Raw genomic sequence first — 23,494 nt, forward strand, 5'->3', positions numbered from 1 at the left:
TGTGATTGGCCTGATGGTCAGACCTATAAAATCCCACACTGCTAAAAATGCTGTCCTTTTCCTAGAAAAGCCCTTTTTTAAAAAAACCCTCCATCCATCAGGCCTGCTACCTAATGACATAAAGAGAGGCAGGGAGAAAGAAAGGAGGGAAAGAGCCTCAAAGCTGGGGTGAGGGCTTTCCCATCTGGGCACCTACGAAGACAGAAAAATCCCTGTCCCAAACTGAAAGCCAACCACAGACATCGTCCAGGCAGGAGGGAGAAAGTTATTCCCATTTTTATTTCTGTGCTCCAGTAGCCAAAGGTACCAGGGACTAACTAAGAAGGCAAGGAAAGGTCTTTTTCAGGCAACTGCTGGTTCACCTTGGCTGGGGGCGAAAGGGAGGATGATCCGCCCAGGAGGCCCTTCTGGGATGTGCAGGGGCAACTATGGAGACAGATGGAGGAAAGAGAGGTAGACAAAGGGGGAGAAGAGAGAGACCGGGAAGGAGGAAAGGAAGGGAAGAGGGAGAAAGAAAGTGAGACGGGAACAGGATGAGGAGGAAAGAGACAGGAAAGACAGAGAAAGATAGGGAGAGACAGAAAGAGAAGCAGAGAGATAGAGACAGGACCATATAGCAAAGGAGTGGCAGAGGAGAGGACGGAGCTACAGGGAGAGACCCGAGGAGGCTGGAGGGCAAGGTGAGAAGACAGAGATGCGGGGCGGGGGCGAGACGCGGCACTCACCCTGCGGCCGGCCTCGTTGTTGTGCAGGTTCATGAGGATGCGAGCACTCTCGTAGGAGCCCTTGGCGTGGATGCGCTCCCGCTCGCGGGCGTCCACGAACTCCTTGGCAAAGCGGTAGCCATAGTCGATGTTGTCGCCGCAGCCGCCCCAGAGCCAGTCCCGCGGCAGGTCCTTGGGGCGCGCGGCGCGGCTGCAGCCGCAGGTGGACAGCTCGCCCTCGCGGCACGCCCGGCTCATGGCGTTCACCACCCCTGCTGCGCTCACCGCGTATGTGAAGGCCGTCTCGCGGCTGCCTGTGGGTGAGGACAAGGGATCACTGGCCGCCTGCCTCACGCGCTGGGCCGGGATGCTGCCGGGGGTGGGGGTGGGGGCAAGGTAGGGAATGGTGGGGAGGTAGGAGGTGGGGGGCAAGGTAGAGATGGAGGGGAGGTAGGAGGTGGGGTTGGGGCGAGGTAGGGAGGGGGGAGGTAGGAGGTGGGGGAGGTTGGAGGTTGGGGGGAAGTAGGAGGTGGGGAAGCAAGAATAGTGGGGAGGTAGAAGGTGGGGGGCAGGTAGGGCTGGGGGGAGGTTGGGGTAGAGGGTAGGGAGTAGGAGATGGGGGGGTAGGGGGTAGGGGATCAATAAGGTAAAAGCTCGGGCTGCCCCATCCTTAACACGCACCAGGCCCTGGGCCCAGCTTGAGGGGAAGCCAAGCAAGATCCCCCAAAACACACAGAAGCAACAATTAACAAAGGAGTAGCAGATCCCCAGTATCTCTGCTCAGCCATTTCAGAGCTGCAGGCCAGATTCTAAGCAGTGCTGGATTGATTTTCTCTGCAACTCTTTTGAAAATAGTCAAAACTTGCTATTTGCAAAAATGCACATGAAAGAAGTCATTGAAGGAACACTCAGAATATGGGTAGACTTCCTTACACTTATTTTAATATTAAGTATTATTTTCATTTGAGTTACATATAAGGCAGGATTACAGAATTTGCTAGGCCTTGAATCTAAGGGAGACACTGCCAGCGGCCACACTAGTTTCTGCCACACTCATTTTGGCCTTGTGTCCCCTCCTCCTCTGGCAGTTGTAACCTCTCCTCCCTCTTCCTTCATGCAGCAGAAAGTATTTCTCAGGACAAGTCTCTTTACTTTCCCAGAGGACAATTCTAAATCAGCTCATAGAGAGTTATAAATGAAGCTTGCTATTCTTAAATCCCAGGCTCATTGGCCTGATACTTCTCATTCAAGAATGAGTGTCTGCTTTTAAAACAGCCTGTTGTTCTTCAATGCCACTTCTGCAGACACCCCCTGCCCACTCCCCCACTGCCTTTGCCACAAAGTGTTAGAATGACAGCAAGAAGGAAAAAAGCACAACCTATGGGGAAAAGAGGGAGGGAGAAGTTTTCTTCTTCCCAAAACTAGTAAAGAATATCTCCCCATATAATAGTTACAGGGACCCTATTTGTAAGGAGAAAACTGGAGGCTATCATAGAGTACCCTAAACTTCGCTTGTACATGGAGACATTTCTGCATGTAACAAGAGCTAGTTAATAAAAGTACTGTAATCTGAGAGAGAAAGGGTTATCATCCAGCCAGCTGAAGCGTGGGGTAGGGGTGGGATTGGGGGGCAGGCTCACTTTCCTCAATTGCAAAATAAGGGTACTGAAATACATGCAAGGAAAGGGGCCTCTTCTGGTGCTGAAATTCATGTACCGCAATCAGTTTATCCTATACTTACTTTGAGAGCTTGCTAACAATCTTTTTTCTGAGGGGGAAGTGAGGAGCACAAGAAAAGCTGACAACAGGACTCAGTCTGAACGAGAAGGGTCATTCTGCAGGAGGACAGCGATGCCAGTTTAAGCATCCAGCAGGCCACCTCATTCTTGGTCTTCTGCTCCATGCCAGTCACAGCCATTTGTGAATGGTGATGGTTCTGATTTACCATATATCCTCCCCCTCCCATATTTTCAAAATGAATGACTTGAAGGTGTGTGCTGGTGGTTGGCAGGAGGATCTAGAAAGTTCCTGTGATGCGTTACACCTATCTAGCGGGATTAGAGAGGCAGAGCACATCAGGGGAATGGAAAGGAATGAGGACAATATACAGCTTCTAGGGAGTAATTTGATAGTACAGAAAATGCTGTGGCCCTGGATGGGGGATTTGTAGAACAAAGTAGCTAGAGGAAGAGGAGATGAAGAGGAGATGAAATGATCCTCTGGGGATAGAGGAAAATAAGACACTGTCCTTTGAGTATACAGAGCATAAGAAGGCTTTATACAAAACACAAACAATGCTTCTTTTTTCATAAGTCTATCTTGAGCATTTCCTTTTATGCCGCAGAATACAAACCTGGGAGATCCCTCTAAGCTAATTGGTCACTGCAGGGTAAACGTCAGTTTGAAAAGTATTCTTTGGCTAATTGCCTGAGGATACAGTCATCCTGGTTGGAATACTGCTGATTCAGTTAGGTTTCCCTTCCTGTGAAACCCACATCTACTCCGATCCTCACACCCCTTACAAATGGTGCCTTCCTTACATATCTTTTCACAGCATGGAAACAAAGAAGAGACAGATGGGGACAAAAGCTGGAAGGAAAGGGTAGCATGATGAAAAATGAGAAACTCTCCAAAATGAAGAGTGGGCCCTTCATGAAGTAATTGTGCATGGTGCCTCCAAGGCAACTGGCATCTTAGAAAAATGAGTTGAGGAGGGGGTCAGAGGTGGCGGCCTGAATTTCTCAGACACTGGCCCCATCACAGGGTCAAATTCTCACAAAGAAGAATTATTCTCAATGTCCTTGGTGTGCTGAGGGCTTTGGGGTGGGCACACACACACACACCTTTTGGCATCAAAGGTATTTTAAATTTTCCCTTAGCTCATTCTCTTCAAATACACTCTTAAGTGGAAAAGTGAAAGCAAAGAAATTTTCCAACTATTGGAATTGGATCCATGTTCCTCTTTCATAAAAATCTATTGTTTTCTCTTCTCTCCTGTCTCTTTTTTAATTAAGTAAAAAACAGAAGGCCCCATCAGTGTCCCACCACAAGCCACCCAGCAGCAGCTTTCAGCTCTGAGACGCTAGGCACTTGGGGGACCTTTTGCAGGGGAGGATGCCATATGTGCTCTCATCTTCCCAGGACATCAGCTGACTTGATGATAGTATCTAGGAGGGCTGTCTCAGAGGGTGTGGAGAGGTACCACTCCCATCCACTTCCCATCGACCCAGACAGTAGTGCCGTGCAGCTGAAGACCAGAGAGCATACTTTCCAGGGACAATTAAATACAGGCTTTTGTACCAAGGGTTCTGCTTGTTCCCTGAGGAAGCAGGCTCTTTGAATCTTGGACCGCATTTAAAATAAATCTCCAGCAGAACTCAAATTCACTTAGCAAATGATAGCTTATTCTGAACATTTTGGCCCAAAACAGGCTACGTATGAAAACGAGAGGAGGATCTTAAATCAAAGCTGTGTTCAAGTGACTACACAGATAAACAGTTCCGATTGCTGTTTTCCTTCCTGGTTACCATCAGAGGTGTATGATTTTTGCTAACTCATATACATGTGAAAAAGTAGTCCCATAGGTTGAGAGGAAGGCAGTTTAGGAGGAACATAGAAGAAGGGGGAAAAGTTACCATCCTCATAGAATTTTTCAAAAGTATTTAAGTTCCCTTACAATATCAACACACGGGAGAATAAATCTACCACACTCCCAGTTAACTACATAAGACAGCCCACAGTCAGGGAAAACTCCTGTGTTCCTGAAGCTTAACTCTTAGATTCAGATCCCAGTATATACATTAGCACATTTTAATCATTAACAGAAAGGACAAAGCCCCATGAAACTTTGCAGGCTGAGGCTACAGGCCATTCTCCCATTCAGTCAGAGGAACAGCTTCCAGTCTTGTATTATTTTAGTTTATAAAACCACTTGGCTCAAACATCCCCTGACAACTCTTTTTTGTTCTCAATGAATGTAATTTTCGGGGTTTTTTTTTTAATAAAAAATGCATTTTATCCATCTGTGATGGACATTAAGCCAACTTTTCTCTTCAGTCAGTATAGACAGTTAATTGCCTTGATAAATTGCTTCTTACTTTGGGAGTCACTGCAGTCATATTAATTATAAGGGCTTTTTTGCATAAAAGTAGAGAAACCTAAAATATTCACACTAGAAAACATACATTGGACCACATCTGTCAAATAGTATCCTATACTATTTAAACAAAAGCAGAGGCAAACAAACAGATTTTTTAAAATCTTTGCCTTTAGCCCATTTGAAATGCTATCTCTTTGAATGGGGAAGTAAGACATTCAACAACGTATTTAAAATGAAGAATCGGACTGTGAGCAATACTCTTAATTTTTTTTTCAAGTTCCTAGGTTGACATCCCAAGCATGTGCTTTTATTATATCAATTGCTGACATCACAAACATAAATTGGATCACTTTTAATTAAAATTCTTTCTGGGACTAAAAATAAAGCTTTTAACGTCTATATCTTTATAGCCTCAGGAAATAGTTCTATTAGGAAAATTAAAACTTTGTTCACTTTCAATATATCCAGGATTCTAAAAGACGGCAACTTTTAGTTCGATGCTCGGGCCGTTTCAATTGTGGCTTAAAAAACTAACAGGCAAGAGAGTTTCGACGTTTAAAAGCATATACATGACTTGCTTCCCCCACCTACTCTTAAGAAACCAAAATAAGTGTTCTGCTTCTATTTTAAACAAAATGCTTTATAGAAAAATTAAGTGTTTGCAAAAATGAAGGTGTCTGTGATACTTGCCTCCTGATTTGATTAAAATCCAAAACTTATCATCAGGTGTAGGGACAGGAATTAACATCATTTGCTATAATGACAAAAATGCCCAAGCCACCACCCGAGCTGGAAGGCATCCTCCTTCATGCTTTCTATCAAGCATGAAGTAAATGCTAAGGATTTCTTCTAGGAAAAAAAGTTAATGTTTTAAAAAAATATTTTAAATGTTTTCCTACCTATCTGCATCACCCTGCCAAAAACAGAGGTGTTATCCACAGTGCTGCAGTTCCACCTTCGATGTCGGAATTGATACTGGCATTCTTTGATGCCTGTCTTCGCGCCTTCTCCGATGTACTGCATGTGGTCCTGATACAAGTGGCACAGTTTCTTCTGTCCTTGAGAAAGTCCTGCCAGTTGGCTGCAGAGAGGCTGTGCTCCTATAATATATACTTCTGACATCTGAACAGGGTTATTCATACCTAGCGACCTGCAAGGGGGGGAGATGTGCATTCAAGATTTACGTGAAATCTCGAGGTGGGCCCCCTGAAAGCATGTCAGCAATACATAGTTTTAAGCACACAGATGCTTTTTTCTCTCCTGCTTGTCCTCATGACAAAGTATGAGAAGGGCTTCATAAAACTCCTCTGTTTAAACTGCACTCAGAAAACGGAGGTATTGTGCAGTCCCCATCCTGCCATCTGGCTCCTCAGTTAGTATTTTCACTCCCTTCCTAGCCCCTGTCACCATATACCTGAACCAGTATTTCCAAAATCCACTCAGAAAAGGAGGAAACAGCAGTTTGAGGGACAGGCCTCTGACATTAGAGAAAGTGACCCACTTTGCCCCACAAATTGGACCAATCTGCCTTGAAAACTTATGAATGCTGAAAGTAGACACAATTAGATACGGGTAGGAGATAGCAGTTCCTTTTGACTGATGGAAGAACAGAGGGACAAGTATACAGACTGGAGAAAATTCACCATGTTTCTTGACATTTTAAAAGGGCTCCTTATGTGATTGTGAGGGACCCAAGACAGGGTACCCAGTGAACAGAAGTCATGTTTGACAGTCAGAAAAATGCTGTTCATTTACAGGGAAAAAAATACCCAGAATGCCGTCAAAAATAATCCTCTGGATATATTACAGTCTATCTACAAGGCCCCTACCCAGAAAGAAACCCCCACTTGGGGACATTTGACTACTTCAAGTTAACCTCCTTTTGATTACATTTCAAGCCCCAATACTTCTGCACTTGGAGTGTAGCTGTCCTCCTAGAACTCTGCCTAATTCAAACTCTGTAGGTTAATAATAATCTCGAGTAACAGAAGATAAAGGCTGAAACTCACTTTTACTACCTAGAGGTGGCAAAAAGTAAATTTTGTAGATAGGCTTACAATTACTAGCAAAGTGAATTTCTGTTCTTTTTTATTGCATGATGTACTACAAGCACACGTCTGAACAAGGGCTTCATAGAAACAGGCCTAGATTTATAGTTTCCCATTCCCTAGGAGCTGAAGATAAGCTTTACAATATTAACAAGTTAAAAGAAAATTCTGATTTAAAACTATATATAAGTAAAATGTATACATATGTCTTGCAATAAATACACCCACACTCACTATCCAGCATTAAATATTGCCGCATCATACAAACAAATCTTAAAAAAAGAAAAAGAAGAGGAAGAACACGCACATAGAATGAACTTACCACCAAGAATTGGCTTCAATTACAACCTGGGCGAAGGAGAAAAATATGGCCAAAGCCACTAGGAAGAACTTGGAAGACATTGCACTTCCAGCCATCCCCAAAGCAACTCCTGGGCTTAATATTCCAATGGACTTCTGGAGAGGGAAGAAAGGAGCAGATGTTTATTGCCTCTCAGATAATTTTCAAGCATACAAGTTTAAACAACGGAAGCATCCGGGGTCTCTTAAGTTTACTGTTGATTGACTGCGCTTCTCCTCCGTGAGTTTTTTGATGGCAAGATATAGGCAGTTTCTTTTTCCAAATTAATCCACCCACGCAACCTCACCAGGAAATCTGATTTCGCTGGGATCCTGTGCGCGGGGCACGCCAGCGATTACAAACGTGTCTCAATTCTGTTGAGTCAAAGCCCTGGTGCCAGGCGCTGCCTCCTTCCTGCTCGCTCGAGTCCCGCACCCCCTGGCCCCCCTCTAGTTGGTGCTGTGCTCAGTCCCTCCTGGGTAATTCACTCAGGAACCCGCTGCGGCCACCCTCCGTCCTCTCCCCAACCTGGGCCGAGCAACAAGTGGAGCCAGAATTAATTCCATGGGCGAGAGGAGCACGGAGGCGAGTGGAGCGCGCTGCCGCCAGAGGCTGCCAAGGAGGCGGGGTGGCCAGCGCGGGGGGTGGAGGATGGGGGCAGGACGCGGGAGGGAAGGGCAGGGGGTGGGGGGCGAGGCCCCGGGGACCAGCGCGCGAGAGTGCCCAGCTGGGAAATGCAGCTCCGAATTAACATCGTATGTTTCATAATCAGTTTACGAGCCGATGTGGGGAAAGCCACTTCCAGATGGGGAAGAGCAGCCCGGATTTCCTTAAGGACGTTCTTCAGCCAGACTAGGGAGGGGAGAAGGAGATGGGGGCCCTAGGGGATAATGGAGAGAGAGGTCGGGTCTCCCAACCAAGGAAACTGGAAAAGAGTGCCACCCTCGCCCGCGTCGCCTGTGGCCTCTTCCACGGACTGAGAGAAGGGATGGAACCCTAGAGGAAAGAAGGGAGTCTGGGTCTCGCTTCCCCGGGGAGAAGATCCCTTCCCTGCCCTCCCCACAGCTTTCTCCCAAATTCTGATTTTTCACTCTCCCTCCCACCCCACACCTGGCAGCTGCCAGGGAGGGAGGAGATGGGAGGCCCAGAGAGACTCCAGTTTCCCTTGGTCCTGATCTGGGGTTGTGGGCCACTTTGCCATCGCGGCACTGCGAGCCTGTCGTTGGAACTCTGCCACCCTGCCTCCAGTCTAGCCTCTCCAGCCCAACTCAGACTTGGTTCGGTCAGTGCCGAAAGGTGGGGGTGCGGGGCGAGGCCAGAGCCCTTGCAGATGAGTCCAGACGGGGCCAGAGGCGCTGGCTTCCGAGCCGCAGCTGGGCGCATCGATTCCAGGGCAAAGAGGCCCCCAGCGGCGAAGGTTCCCTTCCTGAAGAATTTCAGGGGTAGGAGTTGGCCTTGGAAGCTTCCGCTGCCGTTCCTCCCCACTGGTGACTTCTCCACCTGTAGGCGGCGGCGGAGCGAGTAGGTGGCGGGTGCGGGTGGGAGGAGCGGGTTTTAAAAATCCCCTTACACGTAAGTCTAACCCTGCCGCACTGCATCGCCCATAGCCCCTGAAGGAGCCCCTTCCACAGAAAAGAAAAGAAAGGTGAGCCTCTTTAAGGCGGTGGAAGAGCCTGGCTTGGAACCTGTGCCGTAAAAGGGGCAGAGGGGACCTAGGCAGCCCTGGTAAAGCTATGGGGCTCAGGGGCGTGCCAAGGTTTTTCTCCGTGAGCCGCCCCTTTGGCCTGGACGCTTCGGGGCTTCTCAAAGAGGAAATGCTTATGTGGTCCCCAGCGCCTGCTAAGCAGGGCTCCACACCCAAGGCCCAGTTGTCCCCAAAACGCTGCAAAGCTGGGGGGCGCATCCTGGAGAATGGAAATCTGGGGTTTCCCCAGCTAGGAGAGAGAAGGCTCCGGCTATCTCCCCACCCCCGCCCTAAGTGTCAAATTTCCTCCAGGGGAGGGAGTGGGCTGCAAAGTCTGCTTCTCGCGCAGCCCAGGCTGCAAAGTCAACTCTCCCCAAGGGCAGCCGATGCCGCGTGCACACACATCATACACATTCACACTCGTGCACATTTACACACTCACACGCGTGCATAGACACACACGCTGCGACATGTTTCCGAGTCAGCGGCCCAGATTGGTGCTGGCCGCGTGCACTTTCCAAGCTTCGCGGCGAGCGGGGCGCGTGGGGCGGGGCTCAAGCAGCAGAGAAATTGATAACAGATTCGGCGGATTACAGCGGATCTCTTTGTTAGAGCCGAAGCCACACAAACCGAACCCACTCCCAGCCCGAAGCCCCCAGGGAGAGTCCACCAGTTCCCAGAGCCCAGGCCAACTGAGAGCGGGCCCATCCGGTCACCAAGACTTGGGTCTCCCTGGCTCCAGGGTAGAGGTAGGCAGAGGGTGTCCCAAAGGGGGATCGGAAAGGAGAGCCTCACGAGTCGCATCTCCACTTAACCCCGCCGCTTGCCCGGAAACACCTTGGCCCTCTTCCCTCTTCAATCCCAGTGCAACCGAGAAAAGGCCCCACAAGTTTGAGACACTCAAAGAACTCACAGCGAACTCACACATACATCGGCTCTGTAGGGTAAAACATCCCCGCCTGTTTACCAAGAGATCAGATCCGAAAAGACAGTATGAAATGAGACCTCTGGGGAGACTGTCAACCCCAGGGGTAAAACAAAAATTCTGATCAGAAACTGAGTTTCCCAAAGAAGGGGCTAAATGTTTTCCAACACTTTCGGGGCTCAGGGAAGATGACTCTGTAAGGACACTGAGAATCTTCCTCGCGTGCCACGGGGAGGAGGACTGGGGGCGTTTGAGGGGCTCAGCGCACCAGAGGAGTGAGGTGGAGGAGGGCGTTCCCGCGTCCTCCTCTTCAATCCAGAGCAGCTCAACGACGTGGCTCCCTTTCTATGTATCCCTCAAAGCCTTCGCGTCGGATTAAAGGTGTTCTTGATCCTTCTTTACCAACCACGGTGCGGGCCAGGCGTGATGAGGGATGAGGGAGAGGAAACCTCAGTAGCAAAATTGTTCAGAGGACGTTCGGAGGGCGCGGGGAGCAGCCGGATGCACACCTAAAGTCTCGCAACACCCAACTCCTCCTCCGCAGGCAGTCCCTTAAGAGAATAGATAAAAAGGCCAAGCAAAGATCCTCTCCCCTCGGCCCCGGGGCACTGCCACATTCAGTCTAGGCATCCCCTTCTGCTAGACTCTCTACGTTTAGGCCCCAAGTTTCTGGGAGTGAAACGATGAGGGACGCCAAATAGGCGGAAGAAGCCCATTTGACCCAGGCTTATGGCAGCGAAGGGGAGGATGGGAAACTCCAAAAAGAATCTCCACTCTTGGTGGAAAAAGAAAGCTGTTTTCCCCACTCTGATCTCTCCCTAAAGCAAGGAGAGAGATGCAGAAACTAGCAGGAGAGCACTCAGTTGCAGCCAAAAACTTGGGACGTCCTGCCCTGGAGAATGCGGGGAGCGGCGCGAGGAGCTAAAGAATGGGCCGGCCCAGGCGGGTAGGAGGTCCGCTTTAGGGGAGCAGACAAAGGAGCCACTACTCCCTAAGCCTCACGCCTGGGCGCAAGGGTTGTGTCCACAGCAATATGTGTGTTGGCGCGCGCGGAGCGGGGTAGGGGAGGAGGGAATTGCCAGATAGAGAAGGCGGAGGTTACACCTTGAGCCAGAATCAGTATGACAAAAGAGAGCCGCCCAGGCCTCAACACTGACAGCAGGTTCCAGGTTCGGGTATAGAGAGGCCCCAGGGGAAGAACGGTCTGGCCTGGTTCTCCTCTGTTTCCTGCCCCCTCGTCCATCCCTTAGACTGGGCTTTCCAGGCCCCAGGATACACACACACACACACACACACACACACACACACACACACACACACACCACTCACACCTTCTCACATAGGATGTCTAGCCCTCTCGGCAGAGGATCAACTTTGTCCAGAGGTGGAGCAGAGTCCTTGGACAGAGGAAGAAAATGAAATGATAGTCCAACCCCCACTCTTTAAAGGTAGTTTCTCTCCCACTTTTTAATAGACGATTAAAGTGAGGCGAAAAGCGGGAAAGCAACACTTGTTCTCGATCATAGAGAGTTGGGAGGCAGCTGAGGCCAGACCCGAGGCCTCCTAGGGCGACACTCTCCTTCCCAAGCCCAGAAGAAGAGGTACCAACCCTGTGTCCAGCTGGCCGAGTCCCATTTGCTGGGCTGGACCCGTGGCCCCTTCCGTATTGCAGCGGCCGGCGGCGCAGCGAAACTGGTCCTCTGGGGGCCTCCGAGGGCCCCTGCTGGGAGAGTGGGGTCTGGTGGTCGGGAGGGATGAAGGGAGCAGGGGTGGGAGGGAGAGGGGAGCAGCTGCCCGCCCGCCCGCCCCAAGGAACCGAGGCTCGCAGGAGTCCTACCTCAAGGCGGCCAACAGGGGGCAGCCGGCACCGCACCGCGGGGAAGAAAAGGCCGCGGGGATGGCTCCGAGTTCTGCGCGCATAGTGCTAACCCCTTGAGCACCGGAGCGCACGGGGGAGGGGAGGAGAAGACAGGGGACTCTTGGGCCGGGCCTCCTGGGGAGGGTCTTCCGTTGAGAGGGTCGGGGGGTGGAGGAGACGAAGGCTACTACGTCCTGGACCCGAGAACAACTCCCCTACACACACAAACACACACGCACACACACGCAGCCAAGGATCCACACACTCGGACACACACACATTTGTCGGCCCGCGGTTCGCTGCGCACTCTCCGCATTGCCCCCTCGAAACTCCCCTGGCAGAGTCTGTCTAGAAACTAAATCTGGCTGGTTCGGCAGTGAATGTGCGAAGGTGGCTGGGGGGAGGGCAGGGGCTGAGGAGGTGCGACCTCACCGCAAGGCCCAAGTTACTTCCAAACAGCGAATTACCCATTTAAAGAGAGAAGAGAGAAAAGAGAGGCGAGAGAGGAGAAGGGGCCTCGATACCAGACAGGGATTAGAAAGTCAAACAGGGCCGTGGGGTCTCCAGACTTGAAGTTTTTTGTTGTTGTTTTTTTTAACTTTTTGGGGGGAAGAGGGGTTATTTGCTTCCAGGAAACATCTTAATTTCAATTCTAACCTTATTTTCTAAGAAACTTAAAATGGGAAAGACCAGAAAAATGGAAATAGGAATCGAAGCTTGGAGGACAGATAAGAAAAATTGTTTAGAAAATAAAAACTTATGTTGCAGGAAGAAACGTTAACTTTTCGTAAAAGTGAACTCTCAGTGACCCTCGGAGTGTGTGATTCGGCTTTAACATACAACTGACAATTAAAACAAACAAGAGTTCGCAAACTGGCCCCCGCCTGCTCTCCCAAAGCGGAGGCCCAAGTGTTTTCTAAAGGACAAGGCGGACTCCGCTCAGGGGGCCGGGGAGCGCTGTCCCGGAGTACGGGATTACAGCCACTACCACCACAACTCCCCGCCCCCACCACTGCTGCAAAGTGCCTGAGCTCACCCAGTGGCGGCTAATAATGCTAATAACGCGACCCCGCTCCCCGCGCCGGGGTGCGCGCTGGCCCCCCGCCAGGCACTCTTAAAGGCAAAGGGGCCTGAAGCGCTCGAGTTACTCGGCCAAGGCAAGCCTACAATCTGGCCTCCGTCGGTGCGGGGGGGTGTCGGGGAAGGTGTACGCCGCTCTGGAGTAGTTGGCCCCTAGTTCCTCTGCGGGTTCTCTCAACCAAGGAGTCCCTTTCCCCATCCCGAGCCCCGGCCACACACCGTCCCGGTGCCCGCGCAGTGGGCGCTTGGTAAATATTTGTTGAATTGAATCATTATCCTGTTACTGAAATATACATAGTAAATTACACTCGATGTTCTCAGAGCAAAAGGAAAGTCGTCAGTGAACCGCACTCAGTTTGTCTACTATCGCTCTTCCCCACTTTTTCTCAAAAATCAAAATTGTTTGCAGAACGGGTGGTGCGACCAGAAGTGATCTCCTGGGACACTGAGGCAGTGCGCCCGGCGTGGAGGGCGAAGGGGTAGGGGTTCCTGCCAGCGACGCTGGAGTTCCAGCTTCTTCAGGCGGTTGGGGAAATGGAGGGATAGGAAGAGGCGAAGGGAACTCAGTTAACTTCCAACAGGGGGTGGGGGGAAGTAAAGAAAAAAAGTGGCAGCGCACTGAACACCTACCTTCATGGCGAGGGGGAGGGGGCGCGGGGAGGAAGTCGCCACCCGAGCGAGCGCAGCCGAGGAATCCGAGCGGAGCGACCGGGTTAAGCCTGGGGGGACGGTCAGGAGCAGGGCTGCGGAGTCCTCCGGCGCGCGTCCGGCGGGCGCAGTGAACCGGAGCTGAAGCGGGCACTGGCGCCCGGGCCTGGACTCCCGAGTTGGGGCAGAGCTGGGATGCGCCCAGGAATGGAGGGGGCGCGGACGCGCGCGAGCCGGCAGCAAGGGCAGGGCCTGGTCGGGGCGCAACTAGGGAGCCGCCGGTCCGGCGAGGGCGCGCAGGCAACTGTTCCACGGAGAGGCGCTCCGTTTCCAACGTCCATCAGCGACGGCGGTAATTAGGGCTTTCCAACCCCAAATGTGGGCGTGATTGTGCAAAAGACCTTACGACAAATAATAATAAAAAGAAATTCTTCACAAGAGGGTGAAAAAAATGTACCACTACTCAACTGTGGCCCGGGGCGGGGGAAGGGGGGCGATCTGTGCGCCCAGGTGCCCCCAGTTCATTCACACCACAGATTCTGCAAACTCTTGGCGGCTCACGCCTCCTGATCTCCAGCTCCTCCTCTCTGGGTCTGTAGCCGAAACGTCTGCTTCCAGACGCTGATCCTGCAGCCGCGAGTTAGTGTGGACGTCTCTGTACACACACAGACACACACCCCAACACACACACCCCCGCTGCAGCTTTGGGGCCACAGAACAATCAGGCGCGCATGGCTTTTTCTCCGGGAGATGCCGCTGAAAACGCACAAGTCGCCATCTGAGCTGCAAGAGTCAGCCCCAAATTGTGTCCTTTCATTTTAGGGTTCGGCAAAAACGGGGAGCAAAATAGGTGAAAGTCGCCCCGGAACTTATTGCTGTGCGGTGAGCTGGAGGGGTGCGACTAACCCAGGGGAGACGCGGGCTCCCCCCCCCCACCACGTATCCCGTTCTTTCTCTCTTCGGGTTGATCTCTCTTTTCCCCGTTTTTCCAGGGCGAAGGGCGAAGAGCAGCGAGTGCACCGCGGGCGCGAGGCTGGGGAAGGGCGAGAGCTCGGAGCTCCGCGGCGGCGACTCAGCTCCGGCGGTCCATGGCCGGCGAAGCTGCCCACCTCCTCGTTTGGCGCCCGGGTCCGAGGGGCGGGAGAGCGGGCCGGCGGGAGGCGGGCGGTCCCGGGCACAACGGCGGCGGCGGAAGGGCTCGCTGGGCAGCTGCCGCACGGACCCCGGCTCTGGGCGGCGGAGGCGGCTCCGTGGAGCTCGCAGCAGATTTCCACGCGATCCTGTGCCCCGCAAACAGACTGACCGACCGCGGGGACGCGTCCCCCCCTCCCACCCCCCAGCCCTTCTGGCCAACTGCCTTACTCTCTCCCTCCCTCTCTCCAGACTCCTCTTTCCCCTGGTGTTCTCAGAAGGAAGAAAAAAAAAAAAAGAAAGAAAGAAAGAAAGAAAAAAGTTCTTTAAAGTTTCAGAACTAGGGGCGGCTGGAAAGAGAGAGGGAAGGGGGGGGAAGAAAGAAAAAACTCAACTTTGCTATGCGCATGCGTGGTGAGGCCGGCCTATGACAAACTCTGCAGGATTTTAAAGCCGTACTACGGGCTGGGGTGCCGGGAGGCGGGGTACACTCTCCTTGTCTCCCCTTCTCTAAGTTCCCCATCCCCCGCGGCATCTGCTGAAAGAGAGAGGTCCACTCCGCAGCCGCTGCCTGCCTGCCGCCTGGTTGTCTGCGCTCCTTCCAGAGCCACCGACCGGCGGGAGGCTGAACCCCAACTTCCCCGCCTGGACCCCTTGGCTCGCCCGCGTATCCCAGACCGCTCCCACTGGGGCTCCACGGAGACTGCTGCCTTGACATGGAACCTCATGGGGGACCTCCTCATTCTTACCTCTGGGGGAGGATACTTAAGCACTGGGGCTGATGGATAGGGTTAGGCGCTCACCTCCTGCAAAGTCCCCAGAGTAGTAGGGACTTGGGTAGTGGGATGCATGATTGCTCATCTGGCTCCGGCCCAGAGCATGAGGCGCGATGCGTGGTCCTGCCACGGAGATCTTGGCGGGTGCCCTCAGGTGAGGAGATTGCGAAGTTTGGCAAAACCGGGTTCCGGGCACCGGAATTTCTAGACGCTTCCAGATGCCCGTGGTTTTGGGGACTCCGGAGGGGCAGGGTTGGTGGATTTGTGTCCGCTACCTCCAGCACGCCGAGGGCCCCACCCCACAAACAGTGCCTCACACTGGAGCGTAATAGTTATTTTCCGCCGTCTGCATTCTCCAGCTGTCAAAGGTGAAGACACACACACGCGCGCACACACACACACACACACACACACACACACTATTCAATTTTCTCCGTCCATTGGCATGCACTTGACCTTAAGGCGAAAAATCCGTGGCCTAGGTGTTTTGGTGTGGTGGCTGTTTTGTTTTGTTCCTCCAGTCCTCCCCCACCTCCACCCCCACACCCCAGAGGGCGCAGGCCCAGGCTCCAGCGATGCCGTTCCACCCTCCACAGCCCCTTCCCATTCCTTAATTTTCCTAGCCGACTGGACCCTTCCCCAGCCCTGGCCTCCTTCCTGGCGCGCAAAGATGGCAGTGTGAACTTCCCACCAAGTGCCAGAGACAGATGCTCCTGCTTAGCACCTCCCGCCTCCCACCAACTTGCTTTCTTTCCCCCAGGGCGTGTGCGGCCTTAAGGAGAGGGAATCCAAGGTTCTCAAAGCTCCCCTTGGGACATCTCCCCTTTACCTCCTGAGTCTCCATTCCTCTAACCTTCTCCTCTGTAAACCTTGACCACTTCCCGACCTGTGGGCATTTTACAGTCTTCGAATCTAACCTGAGATCTGCCCACCTGAGGAGGGTGTCTGAAAAAGAGCGTCTCCGCCCGGCAAATCGCCCCCAGGCTGCGTCCCTCCGCCCTTCCCCCTCTCCCTTGCCGTTCTGCCCAGTGGCCGCAGACTGAGATTCCCTGGCTGCGGGAGAGCATGTGCCTCCTAGGCAGACACTCCAGCCCCGCCCCGCGGGCAGGGATCTCCGGGACCCACCTTACGTGCAGCAGCTCCAAGAAGTGGCAGGATATGAGCTGACTATGAAAGGGGCTGCCAAAGGGCGCTCCCGAAGAATGGAGAAACTAGCATCCCAGTGTCCCAGAGTCCAAGGCAGTTCGTGTAGAGGATCCTATTCTATGAAGAAAAGGGCCGTTAACCTGGGCATTTCCTCCACACATACAGCCAGTCTAGAAATACTGGCTACCCAACCACAAACCTTTATTTTTTAATGGCTATTTTCTGAGTTATCTGGATAATCACCTGCTTCTCTCCAATTGCCTTTGCTTGTATAGACACAGCCCAAACAGTGCTATTTCCTGTTCTGCAGTCTTTCCTCTAGTGGAAGTCGGTGTTGGTTAGTGGTTAAGAGTGCCAGCTGTGGAATCTGGAGTTCCAGTCCCTGCCCTGCCACTTTCCAGCTGTCACACCTTGTCTAGCCTCTCAGCCAGCACTTCAGAACCCTCTTACACACAACAACAGCAACAACAGCAGCAAGCAGAAATTTCATGATCTACCTTGCAGAAATGCATTGAGAATGAAATGAGATGAGCTTGAAAATCAGGGCAGTACTGAGAATGAAACACGATATCTAGGAATGCTCTTAGCATGGGTCAGGCCCTTACCTGGCACTCAATGCCTGCTCTTCTAGAAAAAAAGCAGCTCTGAAAACAGAGGTTTTCAAACTCCTGTGGTGGTAAAACTGGACCTCACATGACAAGACATAATCTTGATTTATTCCACTTGCTAGGAATACTCTTCACTGAATGAATACAAATGCATTTGGTTACTGGGTATTTCCCCAGACCTCACTGGGCTGCTTGCAAATTAATAGCAATATGCCCCATTTTATTTTCCCAAAATTTCCAACAAAACCGTCTAGTCCCAAGGACTTCAGATAAAGAGTTGTTTTATCTGATAATATTAATAATTAGTGTGCTGAGATTATGCCCCAGGAGCAATAAGCTTCATGTCAGCAGGACCTCATCTGCGGTTTTCATGGCTGGAACCCCAGTCCTCAGAACAATGCCTGGCACTTAGTAGGTGCTTAGAAGTAACAACCACACGAATGGGCGAATGGATGAAAGAATTATTTCAGAGGACGGTGTTAAGGAGAACCAACTTGAAATCCCTTTTGACCCTTCAATAGTGGGTAGGGGTGGGGACTGCCTTAGAAAGCCAGGCTCAGTTGTAAGCACCAGTCCCATGATGGTGTTGATTGGTTTGGCTGGGAAATGAGCAGACAGTTGGAAGGAGAGAAACCAATGCCTCTCCATCTGTGAGGGTTCATGTTCGACAGACCTCCAGTTTGTGGAACTTCATGTTTCCCCTTGCAAACCGTGTGTGCATTTGGGTGTGTGCCTCAGATTGAGTCATCCGAAGATATACTGGCAAGGCATCACCACACTCTGCTCATTAAAAATGCTTCTGAATCTGTGGAACAAATAAATCAATATTTTTGGCTGCTCTCCCAACCGGATTATTCACAAAGCAGAGTGCAAGATAAGGAATTTATGAACGACTGCATCCCTGTGCCGCCTTTCCCAGCAGGGGAAAGCAGGGCCTGGGTTGTCATTCTGGGAAAATCTACCCCCCTTTTATGCCCAGCAAATAATATTTTATGGCCCTGGGTTTATGGTGGTGTTTTAATGATCTGCTGTAGAAAGCGGTTTTCTCTCCAGTCACTAGAATTTGTCAAGAAAGCCTGGAGGCCATAAAAGAGGGATGGGCCCCAGGGGCAAACAGGCTCCATCTTCTGAAATAAACTAATAAAGAGCCCCAAGATGTTTACTCCTTCACCTCAGAGTCAAGACCAGCAGGGCTGTGTGAGCAGGGCCACAGATGGAGCCCTAAAGAAGACAAAGAGGCCGGAAAGGGGTCGGGGGCTTCCTCACAACCACATGGCCACCGTCAAAGTAATACCATCTCTTTGTGCTGCCACTGGCCTGTGGGGGGCAAAGGCTCCTTTGAAATTAGAGGACATTTTTGGATTCTGGGTTGACTCCAGGAGGCTCTTTGAGACTCTCAAGCTCTCCTTGCACTGATCACTCACTATGCCCTCCTAACTTACTTATGTGTTATATGCCAATTATCCCAGCACCATTTGTTGAATAGGGTGTCCTTTCCTTATATAACACTTATGTGTTATGTGTTATATGTTATATTGACTATGACCATTTCATAGTCAATGGTGCTTTGTGGCGGGGGGGCACTAAATGGATGCTTTAATTTTGTTTCATTTTAGGGAACCTGTGGGTCAGATGGATGTGAGTCTGAATCCCAGCTCTGCCTCTTGCTGACTGAGTGACCCTGTAGTGGTCACCTACCCTTTTGAGCCTCAATTTTCTCACCTCTACAGTGGAGATAGGAAACAAATATATTAGGATTGTTCTCATAATTGAGATAATGTACAAAAGACCTTGGTCCAGCTCTGCCTATGGAGATAGCTTGATGAATGGCAGCTACTGTGATTATTTCTGCACTGTAAATGTCTGTTCCTGGGTCCCCTGGTGGAATCTGGAGAAAAACGAGGAGCCTGAGGAGAGTAGAGGTAGGGGCTGGGAAGAGGAGAGGAATGTGGCAATTATAGGATCACCGGCCATGCCTATATGACAGAATTCAACAAAGATGGGGCAGGTATGTGTTGAGATAATAATCGGTAATAAACAATCATAATAATTGCTGGCAACACTTACTGAGCTCTATGTGCCAGATGCTAGCCCTGTCTAAACTCTTTACATTCATTGCCTTGTTTCATCCTCACTACTTTGTGAGATAGATCGTATTATTATCTGCATTGTGGAGAAAAGGAAGGTTCAAAGAGGTCCTGATTTTGATAAAACCAAGCTGTTTTAGGAGTTGCGAATCCTGACACCTTCTGATTTCACTCCACTGAACACCAGACGTGCACACAACCAGATTCAGCCACATCAGGAACGCCTGATTCAAGCTCAGCTCAATGGAACTGTCAAAGATTTGTTCTTATTTCATTAACTGGCTGGCTTTGACGTCTCTGCTTTTGCCCCGCCACCATCAAGAACGACACCATCCATACTCAGCAATTTACCTTGAATTCTTACCTTGTATTGGGCAGTGCCCTGGGAATTCCCTTCTCTCTGGAAAGAGCTTGTTATCCCCAAAGGAATGAATGAGGGCCTGAGGGCTGTCTCTCCCCAGTGCTGCTCAGGTCATGTCACATCTCTGCTTAAAGCCCTTCAGAGGCTCCCCAGAGTTTATCAGATAAAATCGAAACAAGTTAACCTGGACTTCAGGATAGCTTCATCCACATGCATCCTTTGTACTTATTCTTCCCTCTGCCTGCAACGCTGTCCCTTCTGACCAGTCACCCTCACTCCCTTGAAGTCACCTCCTCATTGTACACATCAGTCTCAAAGAAGCTGCTGTCTTTTCCCCATGATTCTCTACTCCCTTGCTTTGTCTGATTGTCTTATCCTGATCTAAAATTATTTTATTTACAAGTATATTTGTTTACTTGTCTGTCTTGTTTTCTCTCAATAGAAAATAAGCTCCAGGAGGGCAAGACCTGGTTGGCCTTGTTCATAGTTGTGACACAAACCCCTACTGACTCACACAGAGAACGTGTTCTAAATAAGTGAATGAAGGAATGATCTTACCTGTGGCCATGCCACTGCTGAGCAAAAGTTTGAACCCTGGTAATCTGACTTTAAATGTAAGGGACTTAATCACCACACTTTACCTATAAATAAAAACAAAACTATTTTTTAGAAGATATCTCTCTGGTTTCCCATATGTGTCCCCACTTTTTCCCTTGGCCTTACCCATATAAGGCTTGCCTTAGTGGAAAGAGTTTAATAAGAGAAATAGTTTTCATCCGAAGAAAGACGGTATCCCATTTACTCTCCCCTTGTGTCATATTGTTTCTTCTGAAAAGTTGTTTGCTCCTAAGTGGCATGTTTTATGAATGGCAGCTGGTATGTTCAGTCCTGTGACACAGCTCAGCATTTTCCATTGCGTATTCTATGTGGCCCGCTGATCATCTACATGCTGGGTTTAGAAGAATATAGATTAACCGGTTCTGGGGAATACAAGTCCCTTAACTTACATGGAAGAAGCAGACTTTTTTATCAAAGAGATAGGAGAAAATGCTGGGTTTGTATTTTGTTTTATTTTATTTATTTATTTTTGGAATTGTCAATATTATATGTCTAAATCTGTGGCATAGGGCTTTGGAAATCTGATTTGACTGTTCTCAATAATTACTTTTGTTCTTAAACAACTCAAACATGGCCATACTCCTGGGTATGTATTAATAAAAGCAGGTTTTTAAACTGCTCAGCTAAGTCCATTCTCCGGAAGGGAAATCTAGAAAAGTGGAGTGTTTTCAAAGTTTTCACATTGAGCATGCTGTGAAAACAGATGGCAGAAATATAAGAGCTCATTAGAAAGCAGCCAGCTAATGCTCAAGTTTGGTCCAAACTGGATTCAAACATATTAGGTTGGTACAAAAGTAATTGTGGTTTTTGCCATTACTTTTTTTCTTTTTTTTGATAGAGTCTCACTCTTGTCTCCCAGGCTGGAGTGCAGTGGTGCGATCTTAGCTCACTACAACCTCTGCCCCCCAGGTTCAAGTGATTCTCCTGCCTCAGCCTCCCAAGTAGCTGGGATTAAAGGCGCCTGCCACCACGCCTGGCTAATTTTTGCATTTTTAGTACAGACAGCGTTTCACCATGTTGGCCAGGCTGGTCTTGAACTCTTGACCTCATGATCCACCCACCTTGGCCTCCCAAAGTGCTGGGATTACAGGTGTGAGCCATGGCACCAGACCGCCATTACTTTTAATGGCAAAATTAAATAGACCAAATTCATCCCTTCCAGATAAGAAGCAACAAACAGTCCTCCTTTCATGGCCACCTGGAAAGCCTACCTGGGGACACATTTGGACAAGTGTTAGACTTTGGCCAAAGAATAAAAGTGCATCCTCAAATCTCAAGACTACCACATAACATAATTTTTTAAAATTTTTCTATAAATAAAATTGATTTATTTTTAATTGACAAAAATTGTACATACATCTGGTGTACAAAACAATGTTTTGAAACATGTATACTTTGTGAAAAGCCTAAATCAACTAATTATTATAACATATCCATTACCTCACATACTTGACATTCTTTTGTGATGAGCACATCGAAAATTTGTAGTCTTAGCAATTTTCAAGTACACAATACCTTGTTATTAACTATAGTCACCATATTATACAATAGATCTTTTGAACTTATTTCTCCTATCTAACTGAAAATTTGCATCATTTGACCAACATCTCCTTAGACCTCGTCCCTCTCCCTACTTTGGCAACCACCATTCTACTCTTGGCTTCTGTAAGTTCAACTTTTTTAGATTTTGTATGTAAGTGAGATCATGCAGCATTTGCCTCTCTGTGCCTCGCTTATTTTACTTAGCATAATCTCCTCTAGGTTCATTCATGTTGTCTCAAATGATAAGATTTTCTTCTTTTTTAAGACTGAATAGTATTCCATTGTGTATCTATGCCACATTTGCCTTATCAATTCCCATTGATGAACACTTAAGTTGATTCCATATCTCCATATTCATTGTAATAAATAATGCTGCAATGAACATTTGGGAGTGCAGGTACCTTTTTAATATACTGACCTCATTTCCTTTGAATATATACTTAGAAGTGGAATTACTGGATCATACGGTAGTTTTTAATTTTTAGCTTTCTAAGGAACCTCCATGCTGTTTTTCATAATGGCTGTATTAATTTACATTCCCACTGATAAATGTTACACAATTTTTAATATTAAACCAATGGCGAGAAAAATGGCAAGAGAGCTACACAATAGTTCAACATTTCTAAGTGAAAAGGACAGAGTTTAGTCATTTAGTAAGTTACTTGGTATTCCTGACATCAAGCTGTACACAAAACATCCAGGAAGCTGACTGCATTTTTTAACTTTTCAAGAATTTTCTGAAAAGTTAGAACATAGAAATTTTACGTTTTTTTGAATTTTAACATGTTACCCTAATGTGTTTTTTTCATTGTCAATATCCCCAACCCCCTTAAAAGGTACCTGATGTAATTCTAAACAGCAGAATTAAATCCCAAGTCCTTTTAATTTTGTATCTTTGCTGCTATAATCATCAATGGTGAATAAAATGACTCTGTTATGACTTCCCCAAAATCTCTCAATGAATCAGTGAATTTTGGATAAAAGCTTCTTTGCTCCACTCAGTTTAATCTTCAGTTCAGTGATCTATATGTGTCCATTAAGGTCAAATGACAATTCATTGGCTTTGAAAAATATCAGAAATATTCCCAGGGCAAAAGATCCCCATGTCATTGAATGTATTTAAGGTAAGTGGTTTTGACTTAAGCAAAGATTTCTACTTAACCCAGGAGAAAAGCAGTCACTCTTTGGAAATACCACAGAATTCAGGAAAGTGAAGTGAATAATAGCAAAGGATTAAATTTACCTATTCCGGCAGGTACATGTATCTACTGAGTATATACAGGAACGCGATGGCTCCACTCACGTGTCATTTGTGGACAACCCTCTTCTGCTCAACCCAGGAGCATGATCCTCCCCCTGTGGCCCTCAGTCCTTAGTCATGCAGCTATGTCATAACAGAGATTAGTGGGAACATAAGCGCCTTCCCTCTCTTGTTCAGCATGCATGCTCCATTCAAGGAGGTTTGAAAATCTCTCTTTGCTATTTGAAAATGGGATTCCATCCAGAGGATATCAACATCTATTTCAAAATTTGCCAACAGAAAATAAAAGCAAATCATAAATTTAGAGAGTCAGTTTATTGGGACTGAATTATAGCTACAAAAAATAAATCGAAGAGTAGCTTAAAGCTTATGGAAAGTAAGGGCCATAGACATGACTGATACGCTATGCATTCATTCATTCATCCCGTTGTTTGCTCCTTCAACAGATATTTACGGGTCACCTACTGTGGATCATCAACCATTCATTTAACAAGCATTTACGGCCCACCCATTCATTCATTTGTCGAATTAGTATTGTACGTGCCAGATCACACCGGTTTGTCCATTTTAATCAACAG

At 48.9% G+C, this 23,494-nt stretch overlaps 1 protein-coding gene and 1 long non-coding RNA gene across 21 annotated transcripts in view, besides 5 other annotated features; one reads left to right on the top strand and one right to left on the bottom strand.

Moving 5' to 3' along the window:
* WNT5A (Wnt family member 5A) overlaps positions 1-23,494 on the bottom strand; it is a 39,549-nt gene that overhangs the window by 7,897 nt on the left and 8,158 nt on the right. For 4 of the 20 annotated variants that reach the window (XM_047448855.1, XM_047448853.1, XM_047448857.1 and 1 more), the window contains 5 exons: positions 20,219-20,444; positions 16,419-20,136; positions 7,174-7,307; positions 5,703-5,953; positions 726-1,018 (listed from right to left, as the gene is read on the bottom strand). In XM_047448855.1, coding sequence (XP_047304811.1) covers positions 726-1,018; positions 5,703-5,953; positions 7,174-7,268 — 639 coding nt within the window. In that variant the 5' untranslated portion in view covers positions 7,269-7,307; positions 16,419-20,136; positions 20,219-20,444. Of the gene's footprint in view, positions 1-725; positions 1,019-5,702; positions 5,954-7,173; positions 7,308-7,498; positions 7,788-10,068; positions 10,807-11,409; positions 11,532-11,637; positions 11,675-13,368; positions 13,696-15,320; positions 15,471-16,225; positions 16,335-16,418; positions 20,137-20,218; positions 20,445-23,494 lie in introns of those variants that run through there. The other 16 variants (XM_011534086.3, XM_017007128.2, XM_047448858.1 and 13 more) reach the window with 16 other exon arrangements.
* Positions 485-719: a silencer, noted in NCBI's record as "fragment chr3:55508124-55508358 (GRCh37/hg19 assembly coordinates)". NCBI's record gives its function as "represses an EF-1alpha promoter that drives an FKBP-Casp9 reporter gene in an ReSE screen in K562 erythroleukemia cells {active_cell/tissue: K562}" and the evidence as "EXISTENCE:reporter gene assay evidence [ECO:0000049][PMID:32094911]".
* Positions 8,304-8,914: an enhancer, noted in NCBI's record as "H3K4me1 hESC enhancer chr3:55515943-55516553 (GRCh37/hg19 assembly coordinates)". NCBI's record gives its function as "activates a minimal SCP1, AML or CMV promoter by ChIP-STARR-seq in primed H9 embryonic stem cells {active_cell/tissue: H9 hESC(primed)}" and the evidence as "EXISTENCE:reporter gene assay evidence [ECO:0000049][PMID:30033119]".
* WNT5A-AS1 (WNT5A antisense RNA 1) lies at positions 14,007-14,697 on the top strand. The gene is made up of 2 exons (NR_046656.1): positions 14,007-14,268; positions 14,379-14,697. It is a non-coding gene; the product is annotated as a WNT5A antisense RNA 1 (long non-coding RNA).
* Positions 15,319-15,829: an enhancer, noted in NCBI's record as "H3K4me1 hESC enhancer chr3:55522958-55523468 (GRCh37/hg19 assembly coordinates)". NCBI's record gives its function as "activates a minimal SCP1, AML or CMV promoter by ChIP-STARR-seq in primed H9 embryonic stem cells {active_cell/tissue: H9 hESC(primed)}" and the evidence as "EXISTENCE:reporter gene assay evidence [ECO:0000049][PMID:30033119]".
* Positions 15,830-16,341: an enhancer, noted in NCBI's record as "H3K4me1 hESC enhancer chr3:55523469-55523980 (GRCh37/hg19 assembly coordinates)". NCBI's record gives its function as "activates a minimal SCP1, AML or CMV promoter by ChIP-STARR-seq in primed H9 embryonic stem cells {active_cell/tissue: H9 hESC(primed)}" and the evidence as "EXISTENCE:reporter gene assay evidence [ECO:0000049][PMID:30033119]".
* Positions 16,904-18,621: an enhancer, noted in NCBI's record as "VISTA enhancer hs1472". NCBI's record gives its function as "enhancer in: tail[11/12]" and the evidence as "EXISTENCE:transgenic organism evidence [ECO:0001131][PMID:17130149]".

This window comes from Homo sapiens, chromosome 3 (assembly GCF_000001405.40).
Source record: "Homo sapiens chromosome 3, GRCh38.p14 Primary Assembly".
NCBI classification, from domain to species: Eukaryota; Metazoa; Chordata; class Mammalia; order Primates; family Hominidae; genus Homo; species Homo sapiens.